This window comes from Homo sapiens, chromosome 8 (genome assembly GCF_000001405.40).
Source record: "Homo sapiens chromosome 8, GRCh38.p14 Primary Assembly".
NCBI classification, from domain to species: domain Eukaryota; kingdom Metazoa; phylum Chordata; class Mammalia; order Primates; family Hominidae; genus Homo; species Homo sapiens.
The window spans coordinates 80958858-80981851 of NC_000008.11; the positions used below are offsets into that span (position 1 = coordinate 80958858).

The 22994-nt window shown below is 40.9% G+C and overlaps 1 protein-coding gene across 19 annotated transcripts in view; it reads right to left on the minus strand.

The window, feature by feature from the left end:
* Nucleotides 1–8952: 8952 nt before the first annotated feature.
* The window catches only part of PAG1 (phosphoprotein membrane anchor with glycosphingolipid microdomains 1), a 144259-nt gene continuing 130217 nt past the window's right edge, over nucleotides 8953–22994 (minus strand). For 18 of the 19 annotated variants that reach the window (XM_047421993.1, NM_018440.4, XM_047421992.1 and 15 more), the window contains 2 exons: nucleotides 21578–21637; nucleotides 8953–18049 (listed from right to left, as the gene is read on the minus strand). In XM_047421993.1, the coding sequence (XP_047277949.1) occupies nucleotides 17687–18049; nucleotides 21578–21637 (423 nt within the window). In that variant the 3' untranslated portion in view covers nucleotides 8953–17686. The remainder of the gene's footprint in view (nucleotides 18050–21577; nucleotides 21638–22994) is intronic. The other variant, XR_007060746.1, reaches the window with a different exon arrangement.

A 22994-nucleotide genomic window follows, 5' to 3' on the forward strand; every position in this document is an offset into this window, starting at 1 on the left:
ATTTTCTCACCTCTCTATTGCTAAATTAGAATTCAGCTACTTTCTACAGCTGAATTAGAGCCTGTACTTCAGCCAAAACACAGTGTGGATTAGACAACTAAAGACGTCTTTTCAAGTGAAACAAAGCAACTTACGCCAGGCAGGAAGTGTCCAGTGTGGCATCTGACTTTGTATGCGCTCTCAGGCCCTGTGGGTGCCAACAAGAGAGGTGCAATGAGGCAGGTAGTTGTTGGGAACCTGAGCCAAACATAGAAGTTAACAGAGAACCCCCCAGGGACCCGCAGCTGCCACCACTGTTGGTGCAGGTGAGCAGGTTGTGTTTCCATAGGGAGGAGTCAATGTCAAGTGCGCAAGTGTGCGTGTGTGTGTGCGTGCGTGTGCATGTATGTGCGTATGTGTGCGCATATGTGCGTGTGCGTGCATGTGTGATGTGTGCGCATGTACGTGTGGGCGTGTGTGTGTGCGTGTGTATGCATACGGCCTTTCATATATGCTATTCCGTGTAACCCTTTAGATGAGTATTGTCCCATTTTCACGAATGAGTAGACTGAGGCAGACAGAGTGGCCAGTGTAACTGATGCAGGTTAAATGGTGAATACATGGTGCTGTTGGGATCTGAATTCTGGTCTTTGACCCCAAAGCCCGTGGACATCCCATTCCCCACACTGCCACTCCGATGGCTCCTTCTTTTTTTTTTTTTTTTTTTTTTTTTTGAGACGGAGTCTCGCTCTGTCGCCCAGGCCGGACTGCGGACCGCAGTGGCACAATCTCGGCTCACTGCAAGCTCCGCCTCCCGGGTTCACGCCATTCTCCTGCCTCAGCCTCCCGAGTAGCCGGGACTACAGGCGCCCGCCACAATGCCCGGCTAATTTTTTTGTATTTTTAGTAGAGACGGGGTTTCACCGTGTTAGCCAGGATGGTCTCGATCTCCTGACCTCGTGATCCGCCCGCCTCGGCCTCCCATAGTGCTGGGATTACAGGCGTGAGCCACCATGCCCGGCCAAGTGTCCTCATCTGTAAAATGAGACAGATGAAGTAGATGAGCCCAAAGTGCCTGGTACATAAAACACTTAGCAATTATTTGGTGAATGAATGAAAGATTGAATGGAACCCAGGGCTCAGTCGGCTGTGTGTTGAGGATGGGGTAAAGTGGGAGAACTAGGCAGGCGGAGGAACATAGAGACGTTTCTGTACATAACAGAATTTAGAAAGACACTTACTACTAGGGCCACGTGGTGAAACCTGTAGTCTCTTTCTCTCTCCCTTCCCTTCCCTGCCCTGCCTTGCCCTGCCCTGTCCTGCCCTCCTCTCCTTTTCCCTTTCCCTCTTTTTTCTTTCTTTCTTCCTTCTTCCTTCCTTCCTTCCTTTTTTCTCTTTTATTTCTTTTCTTCTCTTTCTTCTTTTCTGCTTTCTTTCTTCTTTTTCTATCTTTTTCTCTTTCTTTCTTCTCTCTCTCCTTTTTTAGCTCCCTCCCTTCCTTCCTTCCTTCTCTCTTCCTTTCTTTTTTTCTTCTTTTCTTTCTCCCTTTCTTTCTTCTTTCTTAGCAAACAAACAAAGATCCAGTTTCAATGGGTTGGTTAAATGACTTACTTTGATGTGGCTACTTTGTAGACCTAGACATACAACTCAACACTGGCTGTTGTGTGGAAAAGAACAGAAGCGAAACTTGAAAGCTGTTGCCTGTTTATATTTGCTGCAAAGAGGGATATGCAGAGTTGATGATTTTCTTGTATCTGAGCCCATTAATCAGTCTTTGAATATGTGATAGAAGTTCTTGAGCCCAGCAGGGAGTGGAGAATGGAATTGCACAGCATATGCAAACAGGAAGGTTGGGAGGCAAGAGTGCTGCTGAGGAAGAGCTTTGGGGGTGGGGGCCAGCGGTTCAACTGAGATGCTGACTTATTTTGTTCTCACTTTTATCTTCAGCAACATCTGTTACCATCATGCATGCTTTGTGATTTTGAGGGAAATTTAAAAGGTGCAGTATGGGTTATCGTAGAAGAGGAAAGAGAACAGCTGCCGGAGCTAAGAAGAAAGTGAGTTGGATGGTTTAGCAAGGACCAAGAGCACTCAGCCCCTGTCCAATGCTCCTGGCATTCCACCGAAATCGAGGGACAATCTCCGACAACCTCTAACCTCACCTTGTACAGGAGCTAGTTTTGTTTACATTTCAAAACAGAGCGTGACCTTAGATGAAAATGAGAGTCTTGAGCACATGGGGCATTGCAAAGGCAAGGACTCCCGCTCACTAATTAGAGGGAGAGAGGGGCATTTTGTTTAGGGGGCACAGTAAAGGCAGGGCCGGAGTACACACGGTTGCTTTATGTTAGGACCCAGTGGGAGACCACTGGTGTCAAGGGATATGAATATTTAACATTTTCCCAAGGAAACACTGAATCTGTTAGTTTTATCCTTCTGCATATAACAAGATGTATGCAAGAGAAAGACAGAGGACAATTCAGGGTCACTGGATCCAACTAGTTATGAAACAGAACGAAGTGAGAGAGAAGCACCAGCAGACTGAAAACCATGTAGAAAAATAACACTAACAGTAACTGTGGTTGACAACAGCAATCTCAGAACTAAAAACTTTTCATTTTTAAAAAGCTTCCTAGTAATTAATAAGAGGAGTGAGAGTAGGAAAGGTGTTTTGTGTTTTTTGTGGGAAAATTATTTTTACCTCAATTTAAAAAAATGTTAATTGGAGGCCAGGCACAGTGGCTCACGCCTGTAATCCCAGCACTTTGGGAGGCTGAGGCAGGCAGATTGCTTGAGCTCAGGAGTTCGAGACCAGCCTGGGCAACAAGGTGAGATCCCGTCTCAACTAAACGTACAGAATAGCCGGGTGTGGTGGCATGCCCTGTAGTCCCAGCGACTTGGGAGGCTGAGGTGGGAGGATCACTTGAGCCTGGGGGGGTGGAGGTTGCAATAAGCTGAGATCGTGTCACTGTACTCCAGCCTGGGCGACAGAGTGCCCCTGTCTCAAAAAAAAAAAAAAAATTAATTAGATGGTACTGGGCTGATACAGTTTATTTCTGTCCATTCTTTCTTCCCTTTAACTGCTTGCCAGCTCTCTACTTTGTTGAGCCTCTATTCAATTACTCAGCTAGTCTTCATTTAAATGATCAGAGATTCTTTCATTCAGTAGTGCATATGATTATCACATAACATTTATTCATTGGGGGTGGGGTTAATGGAAGATAACTATGGGTTTCAGGTAAACCCATATCTGATTAATTATGTTTCAGTGGGAACTCCATAGTTTTTCAACTTATTATAATTGGGGAGTTTACATTCCCCTGATAAAAGAAAAACTTCAGCTGAATTAAATTTAAAAGAGTTTAATTGAGCAATGAACGATTCGTGAATCGGGCAGCCCCCAGAATCACAGCAGATTCACAGAAACTCCAGGGGTGCCTCATGGTCAGAACACATTTATAGACAAAAAAGGTAAAATGGCGTACAGGAATCAGAAATGAGGTACAGAAACAGTGAAATTAGTTACAGCTCGGCGTTTGCCTTCTTTGAACGCAGTTTGAACATTCAGCAGTCTATGAGTGGTTGAAGTATGGCAGCTGGGATTGGCCAGCGCTCAGCCATTGTAACAGGTGCATACTACTAAGCTGGGTTTTCAATTTTGTCTGACTATTAGGCTAAGTTACAGTTCATCCACAAGGACTCAAATATAGAGTACAGAGTCCTTCTCAGGCCATATTTAGTTTGCTTGAACACTGCCATCATGATATTGCAAAATATTTTTTACCAAGAAGCTCAAAGCAATATTATTGAATAGTTATGAAATCAATTGAAAATAGGTAAATATTCTATAACTAGTTGTAGAAATGGAAAGATGTACATTCTGAGTCCAATCTGAAATCACTGCCTACCTCTCTTCAACCTTCTCCTTCTATATCTGTAGTTCATTAATATCATCATCTTCTATCCAGAGACCCAAGAGTTGTCTTTTCATCTCTATGCCCCTAATTCTGTACATCTTATGAGTAGCCAGATCCCTTTGTTACACCACCTACTGATGTCTAAAATTAGCATTTTTTCTCCCCATTTCCTCTGCCCTGGTCAAGCCTTCATTGGCCCATCTGAACTGATCTCCCAGCCTCTGATCTCAGCATCCCCCCTTGCGAACTTCAAGTGCCTCGGATGCAAGCCCCTTAACTCCTTGCCATCATATGTACAAATGTTGCCTGCATCGCCTACAAGGCTGTGAGTTCCAGAGGGGTTGGCGGGGGGGGTCTGTCTGATCCACCTTTGTGTCATCAGTACAATGCCTGGTAGGTTGGCTGTGAGTAAACCTACATGCTATTCATCTATCTGTTTATCCACCATCCATCCCTTCAACATATATTAATGAGGCCCTATTATGGGCAGGCACACTTGTAGGTAAATGAGAATATGGAAGTAAACAAAATAGATATTGCTGTCCTTAGATATGTTGCTTCTTACACTGATGCATACACTTAAACCTTTATAAAGACATTTTATAAATTTATGGAGTCAAACAGATCAGTGTTTTCCTCTATGATTTGTGCTTTTGTGCATTGCATATTTCAGTTCTAAACCATACATAATAAAGCCATAATAAATATCTCCCACAGCAGAATTTTAAGAACTCAGGCTTGGAAATAAAATTACCTGAGTTCAAATCTCATCTTTGCCACTAAAATCTGGACAAATTTGTTAACTATTCTATGCTTCAGTGTGATATCATTGATTACCATGAGAATAATTATTTAACTCATTAAAGTTGTTTTGAAGATTAAATGAGCTAATACAGTGAGATGCCTGTAGAATGGTAACTCATAAATAGTAAGCTTATATTATTGTAGCTAGTATGTTTGTTTCTTATTATTCTCTCTTTCGTCCATCTGAAGTTTATTTTCATTTATGGTGTAAGTTGGGAATTCAATTTTATGTTCTTTTTTGTTATTTTCTTTTCGTATGTGTTTTGTTTTGAGACAGGGTCTTGCTCTGTTCTCCAGGCTGGAGTGCGGTGACAGAATCATAGCTCATTGCAGCCTCAACTTCCTGGGCTCAAGTGATTCTTCTACCTCAGCCTCCCAAGTAGCTGGGATTACAGGTGTGTGCCACCATGCCCAGCTAATTTTTTAAAAATGATTTTTGTACACAGTGTCTCACTGTGTTGCCCAAGCTGGTCTGAAACTCCTGGCCTCAAGTATTATGTTATGTTTCATATGGAAAACCAATTTTTGCCAAACTTCTGTTTAAAATCTTTCAGTGGCCTCTATTTGCTCCTAATATCACAGTACAATTCTTTTTTTTTTCTTTTTTTTTTTTTTTGAGATGGAGTCTTGCTGTGTCACCCAGGCTGGAGTACAGTGGCGTGATCTCGGCTCACTGCAACCTCTGCCTCCTGGGTTCAAGCCATTCTCCGGCCTCAGCCTCCACAGTAGCTGGGACTACAGGCGTGCACCACCACGCTGGCTAATTTTTGTACTTTTGGTAGAGACGGGGTTTTGCCATGTTGGCCAGGCTGGTCTCAAACTCCTGACATCAAGTGATCCGGCCGTCTCAGCCTCCCAAACTGCTGGGATTACAGGCATGAGCTACTGTGCCTGGGCTATCACAGTATAATTCTTGATTTGATCTACTCTGCTCTGTGGAATCTGGACCCTGCCTCTCTCTCATATTTCCCTTTTTTGTGACTCTATCTGTGGTTCAGATACCCTGCCTTCTTTTGTGGTCCAGGAACATACCAGTGTCTTTTCCTCCCTGGGGCCTTTGCACTTGCTATTTTCTCTTCTTGGAATGTTTTTCTCCCCAAGTTTTATACTGATGCCCCAAGTCATTCAGGCCTTCCCTGACCACCCAGTAGAAAAGGTATCATTCTTCCTGCCCTAACAAACCAAGGCAGTCTCTATTTTATCATCATTTCATTAACTTTATTCCATTTTGTTTTACTCATCACATTTCGGATCTGAAATTTGGTTTGATTAATTATTTTTCTTCCCCTGCTAGAATGTAAGCTTCATTGGAACAGAAACCATTAGCTGTTTTATTTATTGCTGTATCCCCAACATCTAGAACAGTGCCCGGGAAATAGTAGATAATAATTAGTGATTAGTCTGTACTTTTCTCCTGATCCAAACAGGCTTGCTTTCTAGATGGATAATACTGGCAACAGTACGGAAGGTTGATTTGAGGTGCTACAGAGTGACTTAGGATGGGGACTGGCTGGACAAGGGCAGGAATGGTGGAGAAGGAGACATGCCGGAGGCCTGGCAAGCTGGCCCGTTATTGATTTATGTGTGCTTGTGTGAGAAGATCAAGGTTTTCCTGGCTTGGAGCCCTGGCGTTGGCTGTGCACCATGCCTGGAATTTCTTTCACTGGCTTATTATTTCAGTCTCACATTAAATGTAACCTGCTCATAGAGGCCTTTCTGGAGGCCTCTCTGTAAAGTGGATCTCCAGAGACTTGGTACAATCAGTGGAGACATTGAGATGCTGAATACCCTGAGAATTTAAACGTGTATGTCAAACATTTAAAGGTAGGCACTAAGGCCATTAGAATGTGAGCTCCAATGAGGCAGGAGTTCTGTCTCTTCTCTCTCACCCTGTTTCAGCTCCTGGCACATAGTAAATACTCAGCAAATATTTATGGAATGAATCAATATTTGGTTTTCCTGTGGCTTGTTTTGTTTTCCTGTTAACTTTGCTTTTCTACTTTGATGTTGCGATGATTAATTTTTTTTCCTTTGGGCCTAAACATTTAAAGCTGTTGCTTTGAATGACGTGTCTGTTTTAGAAGACACTCTGCCAGATTGTGGTGCTGTTTATCTGCATGTCAGATGTCTGCCTTCTTCCCCGTGCCACTGCTTTTTGGGCTGGTTTGACTTGGAGGATATCCCTATCTTGTTACCCTGGCATCTCTTCAGAAATTCACAGTCACAGAGAAGCTTTCGGTGGGGGAAGAGTTCAAGTATGAAATCCTAAGATTCGTAGGCACTAGTTCAAGACAGGCTTGTAAGATTATGGATGATAGAAAGGTAGGAGAATTCAAATCAAACCAAACATTTATTTAGTGCTTGCTGTGTGCAGGAAATTGTAGTGTATGCTACGGGGAATATTTCAAAGTTAATGTGCCCTGAAGAGCAAACAAGGCAGCTCGGAAAGATGATTCCACTCCAGAACAACCACATTTACATTGGGACATACCGAGGGAGACATTGTGGAAACAGATGTGATGCCTGGGAGACAGCTGGCTTTGGAGTGCCGAGGTCCAGCCTTGAGATTTTAAGAATCATCTAGGATGGGAGCAAACATTCAAAATGGCGACCTCAAAAGTACAGTAAGGTCCTGGATAACTCTTCAAAACTGAAAAAAATCGTATTGCAGATTGTATTCACAGAGGTAGAAAGATGGACCCAAGGAGAAACATTTAAAAAAAAAATGATAAAGTCTGGACTGTTTGGCTCACCTTAACTAGGGTATCAGAATTCTCCAGTCCTCTTAATGAGCACTTGGTAAATGTCTACGTCCTAGAATCGGCAGTACACCCACCTCTGACAGAAGAGGCGAGTGCTCCATTCTACAGGTGACAGGGAACCTTCGAAACTGCTGAGCTCTGGAGCTTCCATTTCCCCAGACAGCCCAGGTGGGAAACCAGGATCTGTGTTCCAAAGACTCAGAACAAACATTTCTTAGCGCTGAGCCTCCACACACAGAATGGAGTTGTGATTAATACTCTGGGAAAGGAAAGTTCTGCCCGTGTGGTGAGAAATGAAGCCAGAGTTTGAAACCAAGATGGCCAGGCCCTTACGCACATCTGCCTCTAGGTTGCTATCATTACATCACATGCAAGGAAGCAACCAGGCAAGATGAGACCCTTTGACAGGGAGCAGCAGGCACGGCCTCTGTGAGGGCTCAGCAGGCATTTGCTGATGTGGCGTGTGATCTGCGGGAGCCTCTGTCCTCTCTTCTATGCCCAAATACTCCCAGCAGTCTCTCAGGAGTTTGCCGTGCCCATGAGAGTGAAGGGTGGTTTTGCTCAAGACTGTGATAGGCAGCAAGCTCCTTAAACAACTGTAAACAGTCCTCGGAGTAGGAGGGATATTCACTCACTGTACAGGAACAGTTAGTTGGGTAGAAATAAGCGGGCTAGTCCCTGGAGAAATATGGAACAGGGTGAGTATTTATAATGGTGCAGATGGGGTGGAACAGAAGGAGAAAGCAGAGAAAAATCTCAGAAAGGGAGGCTGGGTTGTGGTGGGTGTTAAAGAGGCAATCTGGGGGTTTGGGGTGTCCTGTAGTTACAGGGCACAGACAAAAATAAGACAGGAGCATGCCAAAGAAAACTCTCACTGCTTCGCCTTTTGGCCCCAAGGCCAGTCTTAAGTGACTAGGAAGGGGGCAGCCAGGTCAGATGGTGGTTAAAGTCATTTGCTCTGAGACATCCTGCTGGGGCTGCATCCCCTTCACACAACAAGCAGATGGATTTTCCTCTTGGCCTGGGGAATTATTTGCTCTCAGGTTGCACATCTTCATAGGAGTGCTTGGCAAGTGTGGGTAAATGCCATCAAAAATTTCCCAGCCCTTTTGTGAAGATGGTCTCTTACCATGCACAGAGCACTTAGCACCTTGCCAGGTACCATGCTTAATATCTCATTTAATCCCCAGGACAACCCCATTAGCAGGTTCTATACTATAATCCCCCATTTCCTAATGTGAAAAGGAGGGCACAAAGAAGTCTAACAGCTTCCTCAAAGTCATGATGGAGCCGGGATTCAAACTCGGGTCCTTTTCTGCAAAGTTTTTGATGCTAACCTCTACACACTTTGGTCTGATTACCAGGAACATTATCTTTCCTGTTATGGTGGTGAGTTGACTGCTGGAATCCCAAAACCCTGGTAATGTATGAAAGGTACATAAATTAGCCATTCTTGACCTTTTCAAATACCAAATAAATTTTAACAAGCCTTTATGTAAAACTGACTTTTATTACAATTAAAAAAGAACAAAGACAATTTGATAAGTGCCTTTAATTACAACATACCTGCTATTTACATGTAATCATACTTTTATATATAGCTTGAATAAGTTTTATTACATGTAAACTATAAGATATTACAAGTTAAACTCCAGTCTTTTCTGGATATTCAATTGAAATACTACTGGCAGAAACATACGAAAACAAATACCCATTTCAGTTCCTCAGGTACCATTACTGGTTGAATGATCAAGATCTGGCCACAGAAGAGAAGTGGAAATATGCATCAAAACAAAACTTATTCTTAACATGACTAACAGTATTGTTATTTAAACCCTAAACATAATTAATAATTGGATCATTAAAAACACAACTTCAATTTATATAGCACCTTTCTTCCGAAGAGTTGAAAGCATTCGTGCTTATCTCTATTATTTCGTTTGTCCCCATAACATCTCTATGAGGTAGGCAATGGTTAGTATCATTATCCCCATTTTGTATATGGAGAAACTGAGGCACAGAGAAGTTAAATCATTTGCTCGAGGTCACATAGTAAAGTCAATGCTGGAACAGGGACCACAGCCCTGTGCTCTTGTCTCCAAAACCCATGTTTCCCTTTACACTAAATTGTCCCACTTGAGAATTTAATTCAATAACTCTACACTTTTCCAATAAATAAAAAAGTGCATTTTTTTCACCCATAAAAATTTTTGAAATACTATGAGCAAGATACAAACATTCTGGGATGGATGGTAGATGGATGCTACACTCTTCTAGAAAGTGCTTATGGAAATGTTTATTTTAATATGAGGAGTTTCTTTTCCTAGTTAAAACAAAGTAGATGTCTTTACAAGAAATATATTTGAAAAAATGCTTCTAGTCACCTACTCAATTATAGCTCTAGTAGCCATATTATATTATCTACAAACCAGGTTTATTCCTGAGTTTAAAAAGAAGAAAATATCTAAATAATAAGTTAAATCTTTGAGATAATTTTTCTCATTTACACACATTTACTCAAGAGACTCAGAGTGGCAGATAGGGAATTGGGCCAACACATTTCTCAGAGAGACATGAGAACTGAGACACACAGGGGCAGCAAGTCTGAATTTTGCTCTCATCTCTGCTCCCTTCGCCCCACTAGAGTCAACTATACGGTTGATACTCGAAGCAAATAAAAAGATAATTTTTAAAAAGTGTCAAGGTCGCAAGCATACTAGAATGCTCACAAATGTTTGCTGACTTGAACGTAAGGTTCAGCTTTCCTGATGCTTTTCACATTGCTTCTCCTCAAGACATGAGCATTGCTGCAGGCATGGCCATCTTCCAGGACATGGGCGGGTAGTGGCACATAGGAATTAAATCCTAGCATGGCTCCAGGAAAAACAAGACAAGTACTATACTCAAAAAGTAAAGTTAAAAAAAGCAAGCATGCTTAAGGGATGGGTCATGAACACCACATCAGGTTCATTTATGAGTCTTATATTAAAAATACATAGAAGCTTGTCAAAGGAATGCTCAAAATCCTCAACCCATAGACTCAGGCTTTTGGTCCCAGCCTCTTCTTCCAGAGAAGGGCACTGCTGTCTTTCAGGGAAGCCTTCACTACCTAAATGAGGAGCTAAAGATTAAAAAAAAAATTCTCTTTAAGCTTAAGAAAAGGAAATAGTTTGCTTTAAACTCATGGTTTCCAACTTGTTGAGTTAAAAACAAACCAAACCAAACCAGGACATGACAACAAGATAGTTCTGAACTGTAGGCTCTAGGGAGCAACTGGTCCTTCTTTTAGCTTTAACTGTGTCCTATTTAGAGTGCCTAACAGGTATACTAGGGGAACTTTAAAAAACTAAATGTATAAAGAGAATGAGCAGAGATATCTGTTCTGCTAATTTTGAAAAAAAGTTACACTCTAAAATGTCCATTCAAAGAATTAACTGTGATGACTTACAGCAAAGTTTTACAAAACCAAATGAAACACCCTGGCTCCTGAAGTATGTAGAAAATGGGAACTTCAGCAGCTGCACCTCCAATTCACCTATCCTAGGACCTAGAAGGTGCTTGGTTTCTCACTCCAAAGTCAGGCAGTTTGCTATAAATGGCCAAGTTATTCTCCTTATCTGGTAGCTCTACCTTTGCATGCTGAAGCACTCACAGTTTTCTTAGGTCCTGGGGGATCAGAGCAAACTGGCTGTAACTTGACATCATCCTTAGGCACTGTTTCCTGGGGGAGAGGGTGCAATGGCTTCATGGTGAAAACATTTTACACTCAATTTACTTTAAAAAGGTTTTTTTTTTGTTTTTGTTTTTGAGATGGAGTCTTGCTCTGTCGCCCAGGCTGGAGTGCAGTGTTGCGATCTCAGCTCATTGCAACCTCTGCCTCCCAGGTTCAAGTGATTCTCCTGCCTCAGCCTCCTGAGTAGTTGGGACTACAGGCACATGCCACCATGCCTGGCTAATTTTTTTTGCATTTTTAGTAGAGACAGGGTTTCATCATGTTGGCCAGGCAGGTCTCAAACTCCTGACCTCAAGTGATCCACCTGTCTCAGCCTCCCAAAGTGCTGGGATTACAGGCATGAGCCACTGCACCCGGCCTAAAAATGATTACTTCTTATAAAAAGGATTTCTTCCCCTTCACAACACTCAGCTTCCTTTTTCTTTCCTGGTAACTATGGGTCTGGTGTTGTCATAAGGATCTACCTTCCACATGCTGGACAGTGGGGGTTGCTGCTTGAGGAGACTCAGGCCAGATACAGATCACTGTGGGGAACACTAAGCTTACTTGGTTAGAGCACGGCACTAACATTTCTGCCTCTGTGAGTTTGATTCCACCACATAATTTTTTAAAAGTGCTTTTCCATGGCCCCTTAGTGTCAACCATTCTTACGAAAGATGTGAGCAACAGTGTACATGTTTTGGCAAAAGTCGTGACAAATAGCACCAGCATCTGCCGCCCTAGGTGGACCTGTGGCCTCATCTTGGCAGCCTGTGAGTTGGGCAGAGCTGTGACGAGGCATGGTTCTGTGCCGGCTGGCAGGGTCTGTGATATGGCAGCACTGTGATCCGTACTGGAAAGACATAATGGCATGTCCTGTGAACAGCAGATACAGAAGGCTGAGTGGGGAAGCGACCCAGGGGTATTGCCACACAAAGCGATAGGCCAGCTAAGTACCAGGAGACAAACTGAGGTGGGAGGAAATAGTGACTTCATGGCCTCATTCTTTAGACTTACTCCTTAAAAGGACTAGATCCGGGGAGGGAAAAGTAATCACAAAATGTTCAAGCTAATAAGAGATATTTTTGGTCTTAAAACTAAGGTTTAAAAATTCCCAGTACTGAAAACAACTTTCTCACTCTTTTGTGAATTGGACAATTTGACCATTATGAAGATCTTTTGAAACAATCAATGAAAATGCTACTAAGTGTCATGAATTATTTTTTAATATTTTTGAGTAAGGGGAGTACTTTAATACTGATTGGGCCCATGTAATAGACAATATGTCACTTTTGGTGTAACTATTTTTATGAGGAAAAAACATTAACAATGAAATGCCAATTCCTATTTATAACAGACCTTTTTTGTTTAGATATATTTCAAGTTTCCCCAGAAAATATGAGGCATGTTAATACAACACAATTATTTAAAAGGTAACAACATTAAAACATTTTACTGCTGCCAATGTAACATACAGACATCTGAGAAATGACAATTATCAACCTTTGTAATACATGATTACGCAAGGTGATATGAGACAACCCAAGGGTAGCACATTTTAAAAAATACCCACAGTATATAACTGGCAAGCCAAAAAAACTTCCTGTATTAACAGAAATGATTACTGAATTGAACGCTTTTTAAAAAATGTCTTTTAAGCAAAAATTGTATTTCTCTTTTCATGTTACATTAAGAATTTGGAATATTATTTTTCAGTTAAGTCAAAGAAGAACTTGAAAAAAATAATGACATACTTCACAAATAGTAGAGACTAGATGTAAACACAGACCTAAAAATGAGCAGTAGGATAAAAAAAACCATGAATGTTTGTTCTCTTCTGGACCATGATTTTAAATTTTAATTTGGTAATTCCAGATAAAGATTCTAATTTATCATGGTTTCTGGACTGATCTCTTTAAGTTAAACACTTTCAGTCTAAGTGTGTTCAACTGGCCTAAAGCCACTGTCAGGAAAAATGTATTTAGGAAAATATACAACACAGGGCAAGAAAATACTACTGTAGAATAAGGAATTTAGATTTCACTGCAAATAAAGCCATATTTGATATTAAAGACACATGTTCCTATTTTCACATCAGTCATTTATTAACACCAAACATTATACTTTAACTTTTCCCCATTACACAGTACAATAAGCCTGTCAAGATTTCCAGGAAGTAATCATCAGTACCTACTGTGCTTCCAGCAGCCAAAGCTAAGCTGGCTGGGTACCAGAAATCAACACCTTCAGGAGAATGGCATCACAAGATTGCATGGACTCATATTAACTATTACAAGGGGCACTGGAAAAAAAGGTCATTTGCTCATTTACAAAATCCTAATTGAACTAAAGCTCTGTAATTATAGCCATGGTATCAGACCAGCTTTTTCGCACATCCTATCACATCGCTGCCTGCTGATGTTTTACACTGCCTATAAAGTCTCATAATTTTAAAAGGGAATGAAACAGAATGCCACAGGTGACCGACCTCTGCTCCTGCTACTTGGGAGTCACGTTGTCTTGGCTTCGTCCTGGCTCAAGGTTACTAGTCTCTTGCTGCTTTGGGCCAAATCTCTTATCTCTTTACATTTCCTCCTCTCAGGCTGAGTCAAAAGTAAGTCACATGTATAACAAAACTGTCTTAAAATACCACTGTTTTTCAGCCAAGAGAATTACGGATGCAATTTAAAGTCTAAATGTATTAATTGGAAAAATTAAATTAGAGCAACTCAAGGTTTTCCTGTAATTACCAAATGAAACTGATTGAAAAACTGTTCCTTCTAATTCTGCTTTTCCAACAAAAGTTCATCACACTAGCAGGATAAACATTCAAAATACATAATAGAACATATCCTAATTAAGCACCAGAGTTGTGTCAGAGCCAAGTATATACACACACACACGTATACGTGTGTGTGTGTGTGTGTGTGTGTGTAGTTTATTACTGGTTAAGTAAATGCTCTAATTAGCAAAAATCATGAGAAATATATACAGTGATATAATGCGGTTAAATTTTAGTTCTCTGTGTTAACTACTTACTGTTAATTTAGTACTCAATTAGAATTAACTCTGGGATTTTGAGGGCAGATAAATCAGTAATTAGCCTTTATCCCAGAAAGAATAGTGGTAGCTTCAAAAGCTTCAACAGACCTAATGATGTAATTTATTCAGGACAGAAAAAAAAATATGTAGCCAACATTCTTGCAAGAATTACTTTCTTATGGAATTTAAGATTTCCTCAAATATTTTCTTTTCTATATAGCGTTTTGTTCTTGTGTAGTTATCTGCCTAGGATACAGACAGGATATTGAGACTATTTCAGAAAGTAGACACACTAAAAACATTTGACAAATTAAAAAAATTTTGCATAAAACAGGTTACCCTTTCCTGCTGACTATACTTAAGAAATACCAAAGTAGCATACAAAATGCTTCTAAACTTTCAAAATATCTGAATAAAAACAAAGATCCTACTTTTAACTGAGATAGATTTATAATTCTTACTTACAAGATAAAAAAATTTCCTAAAATTTATTTTTAAATTTCACATAACCTGCTATAATTCGCTGTAAAAAATGGATGTCAAAATAGAATTTTAAATATACAAATTGTTTTTGATAACTACCTTTCATACATTTTATTTAAACTGTAGCATTAGCTCAAGATGAAACTTTTTAAAAGAAACCATAGGCTTTTGTCCAACTCAAAGATTCAAGCCCAGATTCTGAACAAAGTAAATGTGATGAAATTTATGAAAAACTATACTGTACAGTCAAAACAGTGATGGTGCCTCAGTAAATAACTTCAGTAAAATATCCAGTGCTCCAAATAGCTGAGCCATCTTTCTAAGGTTCACTCTGCTTCTCTCCCCCAGCCCTCATGGCCTGTGCTACCATCTATTCTTTTAGCGTTTATGCTGGAGGGCCTTATAGTTCCTTTAAAAGTACACTGAAAATACTTTATATCACAGCTTATTCTAACCACTGGTTCTCAAATTAAAAGGTATATTTCAGTGCATATTTCATAGCCACATTGCAGAACTAATATTTGAAAACTCTTGGGGGAAATTTTGGTAACAAAATTGCAAAATGACATGATTATTTATGAGCTTTCTATAAAAAGTTTTTTTTTTTTTTTTTTTTTTACTTTAGAGATCATACCTACTTTCCTGCCTTTTTGATAAGTAAGGCATGAAATGAAACAAAAGTTTTGAGCTGTAAGGTGCCTATAAAGGATGTCACTACAGCATTCACAATGCTAGGTGTGTAAGATGACATGGCTGTTACCATGTACTAAAGAACCCCATCATGTGAGAGATCGCTCAAAGTCATTAACACAAAGCAGTGAAAATCATCCAGCAAAGCAGTGCTTATGAGAGACTAGAATTCAGAGAAATGCAAGGTACGAACTTCTCTCTAATCCAAGGGTATTCTGCTGTGATCTTCTAATCAGTGATGATTGTGCTTATGCACACGACATCTTCATGGGAGAGACCAGGCTGATTGCAAAATAATGACAACCAACCAGTTTACCTCAACATAGCTCACTCTGCAATGTCAGACATGCAGTGTAGAGCAGTCACAAAGTCAAGCCATGAATACAGGGATGGAAAAACATTCCAGTGAGCTGGTCTCTACAATTTTTAAGACACTTCATCCTCCCAATTATATTCTTTGTCATAAAGAGGAAAAACAGCAAGATTATTAAATCCAAAAAGTCACAGATGTCACAAGGGGATGAAATAATTTCCTCATTTTTTTTCTTTATCAGTGTAGGAAAAGCTGTCTTTCCATAGCCCACACTCATAATAGCACTTCAACTAGGCTCCTTTGAAAATGAAAAGTGAACAAGTTTCCTAATGCTGGCCTTATAAGATCTAAAGAGATGATTAAATTCAAACCAGGCTGAGCTCTTACTCTGAGCTATTTCAGCCACTGATGTTTGTAAAATATAGGAAGAAGATTCCAATAGGCAATTTGCATTGGCAAGCACTGGACTACAGAATTCATCACTGTTTTCTGAAAAAATATAATTAAACCTTAATGGAATTATGACACTTTTATGAGGTTTATAATTCACAGCCACCTCTCATCATATTTTGTTCTTCTTTCCATTTTTACCATTTCAAATATTGCAATATTGCCCACCATAAACCACTGAAAATGATTATTTATGTATATTCCATTTATTTCTCTAGGGGGTCTAGGTAATTTGAATCAGGAGCTCCAAGTACCATTTAAAAAGGTGAGTCTTTAAAAACCATCAGTGTTTTAAACACTTGATTAGAAAAAAGATAACAGCTCCTTGTAGTGATCTAGCTTATGTGCTTTATGGTATCTTTTCAAAAGGAGAGTATAAATCATTGTACATAAAATCAAAATAGCTAATATACATTTTTTTCTGGCACTTTTGAGAAATTAGGCATTGAACATAAAACATCTTATAAACTTACATAACAAAAATAAATGTTTACATTTTAATCTTAGATTACCTTAGGGTAGCAGTTAACTTATGAGATGCCACACTGTTGGTGTGGGCAGCGGAGACCATGGGAAATACACATTCATGTCCACAGCCCTTCAGCGATGGATGCATGGCTGCCGTCCAAATATGTGGTCTGTGTCCCAACATAAAGATTAAGGCTCTCTGTTTTGAAGGAATGAGTTCTGGGCTTAAACAAGTCTAGAAGTACCACAATACTCATGGAAAATACTGAAAAGATTCGGACGAGTTTTCAAACACTGGGGGAAACACGTTTTTGACTAGAAAAATAAAATAAAGCATCTAAAACTGACTTCAAGTACTTTGGGGAGAGGCTGCTGATATCGAATGCCAAAATAAGAAGGAACAAAGACAGAAGAGACTCCAGGGACGTCCCTCCCCATCCCTTCACCCGCAGGGTCCAGATCCCCAGGTGCTGATGCGCAACTCTTTGGGGAGGACTGGCGAGCTGGGCAGAAAGCAGCAGCCATGGTTTGTCACCATCCTAAAACACCTATATTGAGGGCAAAGGCCAAGCTTTGTGTGAAAATTTCCTTGGGATGAACCACAGGAATCTGGACATTTCAAGGGGGAAAAAGCCTTAAAGTCAGTAGCAGACAGAGAAAAGGAAAGAGAGGAAGAAAAACCTGCTTTTCTGAATGGCAGTACTTTAGGCCGGGGGCATTGTGGTCCTTGGTGAGTGCAGCTTTTCCATACAGCTTGGCTTTCCTCACTAATGAGATGAGACCACTGACAGCTGGGATCTTTTGTGGGTGGTGAGGGTGCAGCAGGGAGATGTGCTTGGGTGTACCTGTCCATCTGGCAGGCAGGGGCACACTCAGGTGCAGCCTAGTCCGTACCTCTCTGTCTCAGAAACTGAACAACTGGGAGAACAGTCGACAGGGCCTCTCCAACCATCTTCAGGTGACTAAAGCAGCATATGAAGTATAGGTTTGTGTCACTTCTTCTCTTCCACAGAAGAAACGTCTCCAGACACTGATCACAGGCTACCCAGGGTTGTCTTCTGGGTTGCTAGAGCCTGGTAATATCTCTGCCTTGCTGCAAGTCACTTATGCTCTCGTAGTCGTTCTCCTTTGGGACGAGACCGTGGTGGCCATTGGTCCCCAGGGTGGCCTTTTCTTCCTCTCTGTTGAGAGTCTGTATCGCTTCATAATCAGGCTCTGGCTCCTCGCTGGGCCTCCCTGCTGGTGGAAGTGTGCTGTTTGGAGTTTTTTCGAAGTCTTTAACAGTAGCATAGAGATCATTACAGGAGGAGGGTGACCTCTGTGGGTCCCCTTGAATGGAGGTGTAGGTGGACTCCGGAACTGTAAGCGACTGCCCCGATTTATTCACTAACTGTCCAGGTTTATTTACTGATGAGTACATAGCTGAGATCTAGGAGACAAAGGGAGAGTTGAATAAACTTCCAGCTGTGACTTCCCCCTCCCTCTTTTTAGTGACAAGCTACATACTGAGCACTCCTGGGTTTCTGTGTGTGTACTCCTTAAAGATTTGTTCTTTCTTATCTGTACTAATTATGGAGCACATTACTAGAGAATAATTACACACACTATCTTCAACTATGTTAACTAGATCAGTCATATTCCCTTAATTCCGTGAAAACCCAGTTCTCTTGGGTCTGCCGAGGAATTTGAGGAGAGGTGGAGTGGGAAGCTCCTGAAGGCCCCGGGGACCTGACCACAGCATGTGTTTTATTTCATTTCTTTATCAGAATGATATTTTGCCTGAAAAGGGGCTCCACTGCTTTACAAAAAAGGACAGAAAACACATAGTAGACCGGTGATTCTCAAAGTGTGGGCTGTAAACCAGCAGCAACAGGATCTGGGAATTTGTCAGAAAGGCAAGTTCTCAGGCCTCATCCCAGAACCACCAAATCAGAACCTCGGGGCTGGGGCCCAGCAACCGGTGCTGATTCTGATGGCCAGTAAAGTATAAGAACTCTGAATTAGACTACTCCATGCTTCCTGCATCACAGTGGTCTCCAACACCCGTTGCTGGATTCTCGTTGGTGGTACACATATATCTGAAAGGGTATTCCTGTCCATTATTTCTTGACTTAGTTGCGTATTACTGGTTAAACAGACATTGACAGTCCAGGTCTAGTTTTCTTCAGTGGGAAAACTCATTCTCGCTTGCAACCAGCCAAGTCAGAAATGACAACTTACAGGATACTATTAAGAGCCAGTGGCTTTCCAAGCACACCCCCACAGTCTCACTAATAAATCCTGTATCACCTCCGATATCAACAGGGATTTCATTCATTGTGAAGATTAAATATACTAATTAGGAGACTTTTGGGGAGTATTATTTTATTGTGAAAAATCACGGTTGGAAATAAGTAAAAATACCCTTCATTACCTGTGTTTATTTTTATCACAGTGATTTGATTCATTCAAATACCCAGGAAATACATGAACATGCTTCCTCACAGATGCCTGGCTTCCCAAGGGCTGAGGGACATTTTCCTGCTTCCACTTTTCTCACATACTGCAGGTGAAGTTTCCAGCTTCTTAAGACAGGCCTGTCTTAAGACAGGCCTTCTTATGTCTCAAAAGCTTCTTAAGACAGGCCTGCCACATGCTAACTGGTCATTTGCATGAGAACTTTTCATTACAGGCTGGTGGCTGGCTCAGTTTGGTGAGGCCTTGACAATCCAAGGGTTTACAGTTCAGAAAAACAGTCTTTGGAAAACTCTTACTATGTTGATCTGACTATCCTAATGAATATGAAATGATTAACATTCTCACCTTAGAGGTTTTAATGAAAAAACTGCTCTCAGAATACAAGAATTATAATTTCTTTGAATTTAATAAAAAAAATTCACTGCTGTTTATAAGGAAGTGCAAACACAGAATGTATTATCTAAATGGTGGTCCAAGCCAAAAATTATATGTGGACAGATTATAAAAAGGTAAACAATGGATGACAATGGTGAGGGGAGACGGCATACCAGCGTATTCATCACCTGGTAACATCAAGGAGGACAAATGTACCTTGACCTAGATTGTAACAATGAGAGTCAGCCCCTCACCACCGTTAGCTTCTCTCCTCAGCTTTCTTCCCCCTGGTCTTTGTAATTAATGCCCCTCACTCTTTGTAAGAGTACTTGGTCTTCTTGGCCTTTGTCCTCATTCATTAACTTGCAATTTAATATTGACTCTGGGAATGAACCTAGTGTGCAGAGGGTCTCACTGTACATTTCAACTTTTATAAAAGCTTCTTGAGTCTTCTCATATTCCTTTTGACTGTTTTCTATGACCATTATGACTATTATTTTTATTTTGTATACAGGTTTCTCTTCCAGCCCCCTTGCTATTTAGCTTCTCAATTTTTCTCTTTAAAACTTTCATCATTATTCCTCAGTCTGTAAATTGTTGCTATATTCCCATAAGTTACTCTCTTCCTTTTCCCCATTTCTCTTCTTTTTCTAATCAATCCTTTCCATAACATTCTGTTAAATTGGGGTAATAGAACTTAAAGCTCAGATCTCAGCTTCAGTCTGGACTGTTTAACATTAAATTACATAAATACAAAAAAAACTTTCATATTTATTTTTCCTCTTTGTCCTAAAATGAATGTCTGTGAGTCATAGTTCTGTCATGTTAAAAATTCATCAGTATAACTAGGTCCTGTTTCAAAAAATACAAACAAATGTAAGATAAGGAGCAATTTAAAATTTTACATAGTCTTTAATTCCCAGAACTCCTATATATTTTACCTTCTTGTCCCAGATGGGATCACTTTGGCTGCAGAGTAGAAAACAGAGTGGAGGGAGGCCAAGGAGCTGCCAGGGATCAGCAGGAGGGGACTGCTCTGGCCTAGGGAGGGGCGGCCGCAGTGGGCTTGAGGGAGGTGGGTACACAAAGAAAACAGTTTGGAGGTGCAACTGATGGGTCTTGGCAATTGACTGTGTTGGAGGACAGTGAGGAAAAGGAAGTATCGAGATGACCCCTAGGTTTTGGTCTGTGCAACCAGATAGACAGATGGCAGGTCCATTCTGGAGGTAGAAACATGGACGAGGGTGGGCAATATCACCTAGGGAAAGCATTTTTGCTCTTTGAACATTCAACGTGGGTGTCTATGTCCATATTCTAATGCTTTACTCAGAGTCCTATAGGAAGTGATGTACCTGCATATGTACTTTGCTCTTGTACATGTACACAATTTACTCTGCTAGGAATTCCAGATAGAAGCTATATACAGCTAGATCAATTAAGGTGTTTAGCTCTCTGAGCATAGCTCAACATTTATATATATACATATGAAATATGTATATATACACATATTTCATATTATATGTATAATACTGGCTTTAACAATTTTAATGCTTCATTGAAAATCTAACTCGTGAATTTTGCACCCTGGTGCTTGGGAATATGCGATCTGCTCTTGTTGGCTGCTATGTCTGACCCTAGCTCCTGCCTGGAACTGTACTTACTGAAGTTAATCTGCTCTCAGCATCCAAATTTCCCCACGGAGACTTCCTCTTTCTGTCTCCCAGGCTGGAGCAAATTCCCTACACTCACCTGTTCTAATTTCCTGAATTTTCCAACCCATGATTCATTTCCTTCTGATGTGGTCTTCCTGACTGCTGACTGCTCCCACGCTGGAATTTTTCTCTTCTCACTCTTCTCCCCTGCCCTCTCTATTTTTCCTGACCCTGCTTTCCTGCTCAGTTTCTTTTCCTGAGCTGACTACTTGTCCTGCCATCCTTCTTGTCTGGCCTGCCCGTCAGTCTCTCCAAGCCATTATAAAACCAGCATCCCAAGTCTTCATCTCCAAACATAGGCATAGGAGAATATTTCAGCTCTTTCAAAGGGTAACATTACAGTGCATTTATTCAAGGGGGGAAGGTCTATTCTTTACTACAGTTTTCCCTTTTTAAAAAGAAACAAAACTTACCTCTTCTTCTGTGAGAGTGGGGTCTTCTTCCCGAGACTTGTATGACAATGAGCTAAATCTCTGTCAGAACAAACACAAGCCAAGGAAAGTAATTCAGCGTTAACAATCTAACCTTTCTTTTGCACATGTTTCCTCATAATCTGTCTAGCAACGTTTTCAAATGATTTTTATGGAACCACGAAGAAATTATGGGAAGAGAAACACTTATGCAATCTATTACCACATGTATGATGTTCGGGGATATCTAGTAGTATTATCCTTAGAGAAATTTCCTCTAATTTTGTATTTGCATCTGTAGGTACAAAGAAGCCAAAATAATTATTTAGACTACTGTTTCAATTCCTAATTGTCACTGAAGGATTGATCATCCATGGAGGATTAATATTTAAAAACATGGTGTTTCTTTATCAAATGCCTGAATTTTATACTTCTACAGTTTGCTGGCGTCATCAGAAAGATCCTTAAGTCATTTGGAAACTTCAAAGCTAATGGAGAAACTGACTCACATTTTGTGTCTTGCCCCCTGCCTGATTTCTGAAGGATTTTGGCTCTTGGTTTACTGATTCTCTAACACATCCCTTGTCTTAATTTTTGGTGACCTCAACAAACGTGTACCCTTCTAAATCCCGCCCTTCAGTTCCTTGACTTTCCCTTCCCCCACTGATTTTATGCTCTATCTGTGTCCCCTCTCCATGTCCACCCCCGGCCTCAGCACCCTCATGGCTGCACCCCAGGCCTTTCTAAACCACAGCCTCTCCACCAGCCCAAGTCCTTGCAACCCCTTTCAGACCAGCGCTCGTTGTCAAAGCTCACTCCTTCTGTAACCCAGTTCCAATGCTCCTTCAACACCATTGGGACCCATTCATGCTTTCAAAGTCTGCCCTTCTCCTTGGTGTCCTGTACTGCTTTACTAAGCTTAAGCTCCATAGTCAACTGCCAATCATACGTGAACTCAACCCTCTAGTGAGCCCTTAAAGCCGCTCCGTATCATCCGATGCTTCCCCAGTATACTCAGTCTCTGCTCAACTCACAGTCTACTTTGCATCTTCTCCTCTTCTCCCCAGACTTCCAACACCTCCTCACCTATCTTCACTCTGAGCAGATGATCTTGCTTCCTAGTTGGCTAAGAAAACTGAAGGAATCAGAAGAAATTTGTATCAACTCTTAGCCCCACCCTCAGCCTCTGCGTTAATCTATTTTCTTTCCTCCCTGTCAAATGGATTTTCCATGTTCCTCCTTCAGGTGATCCCCTCCTTCCTACACACTAGACCCTGTCTCCACATACCTATGTGTGAATACTGAGCCAGGAATTCTCCCAGTGTGGGATCATTCCCAGCCACATGCAAACATGCTGTTGTTTCTCTCATTCTAAAACCAAAACAAACCTAGTCCTACTCCGAAATTCTACCTACTCATT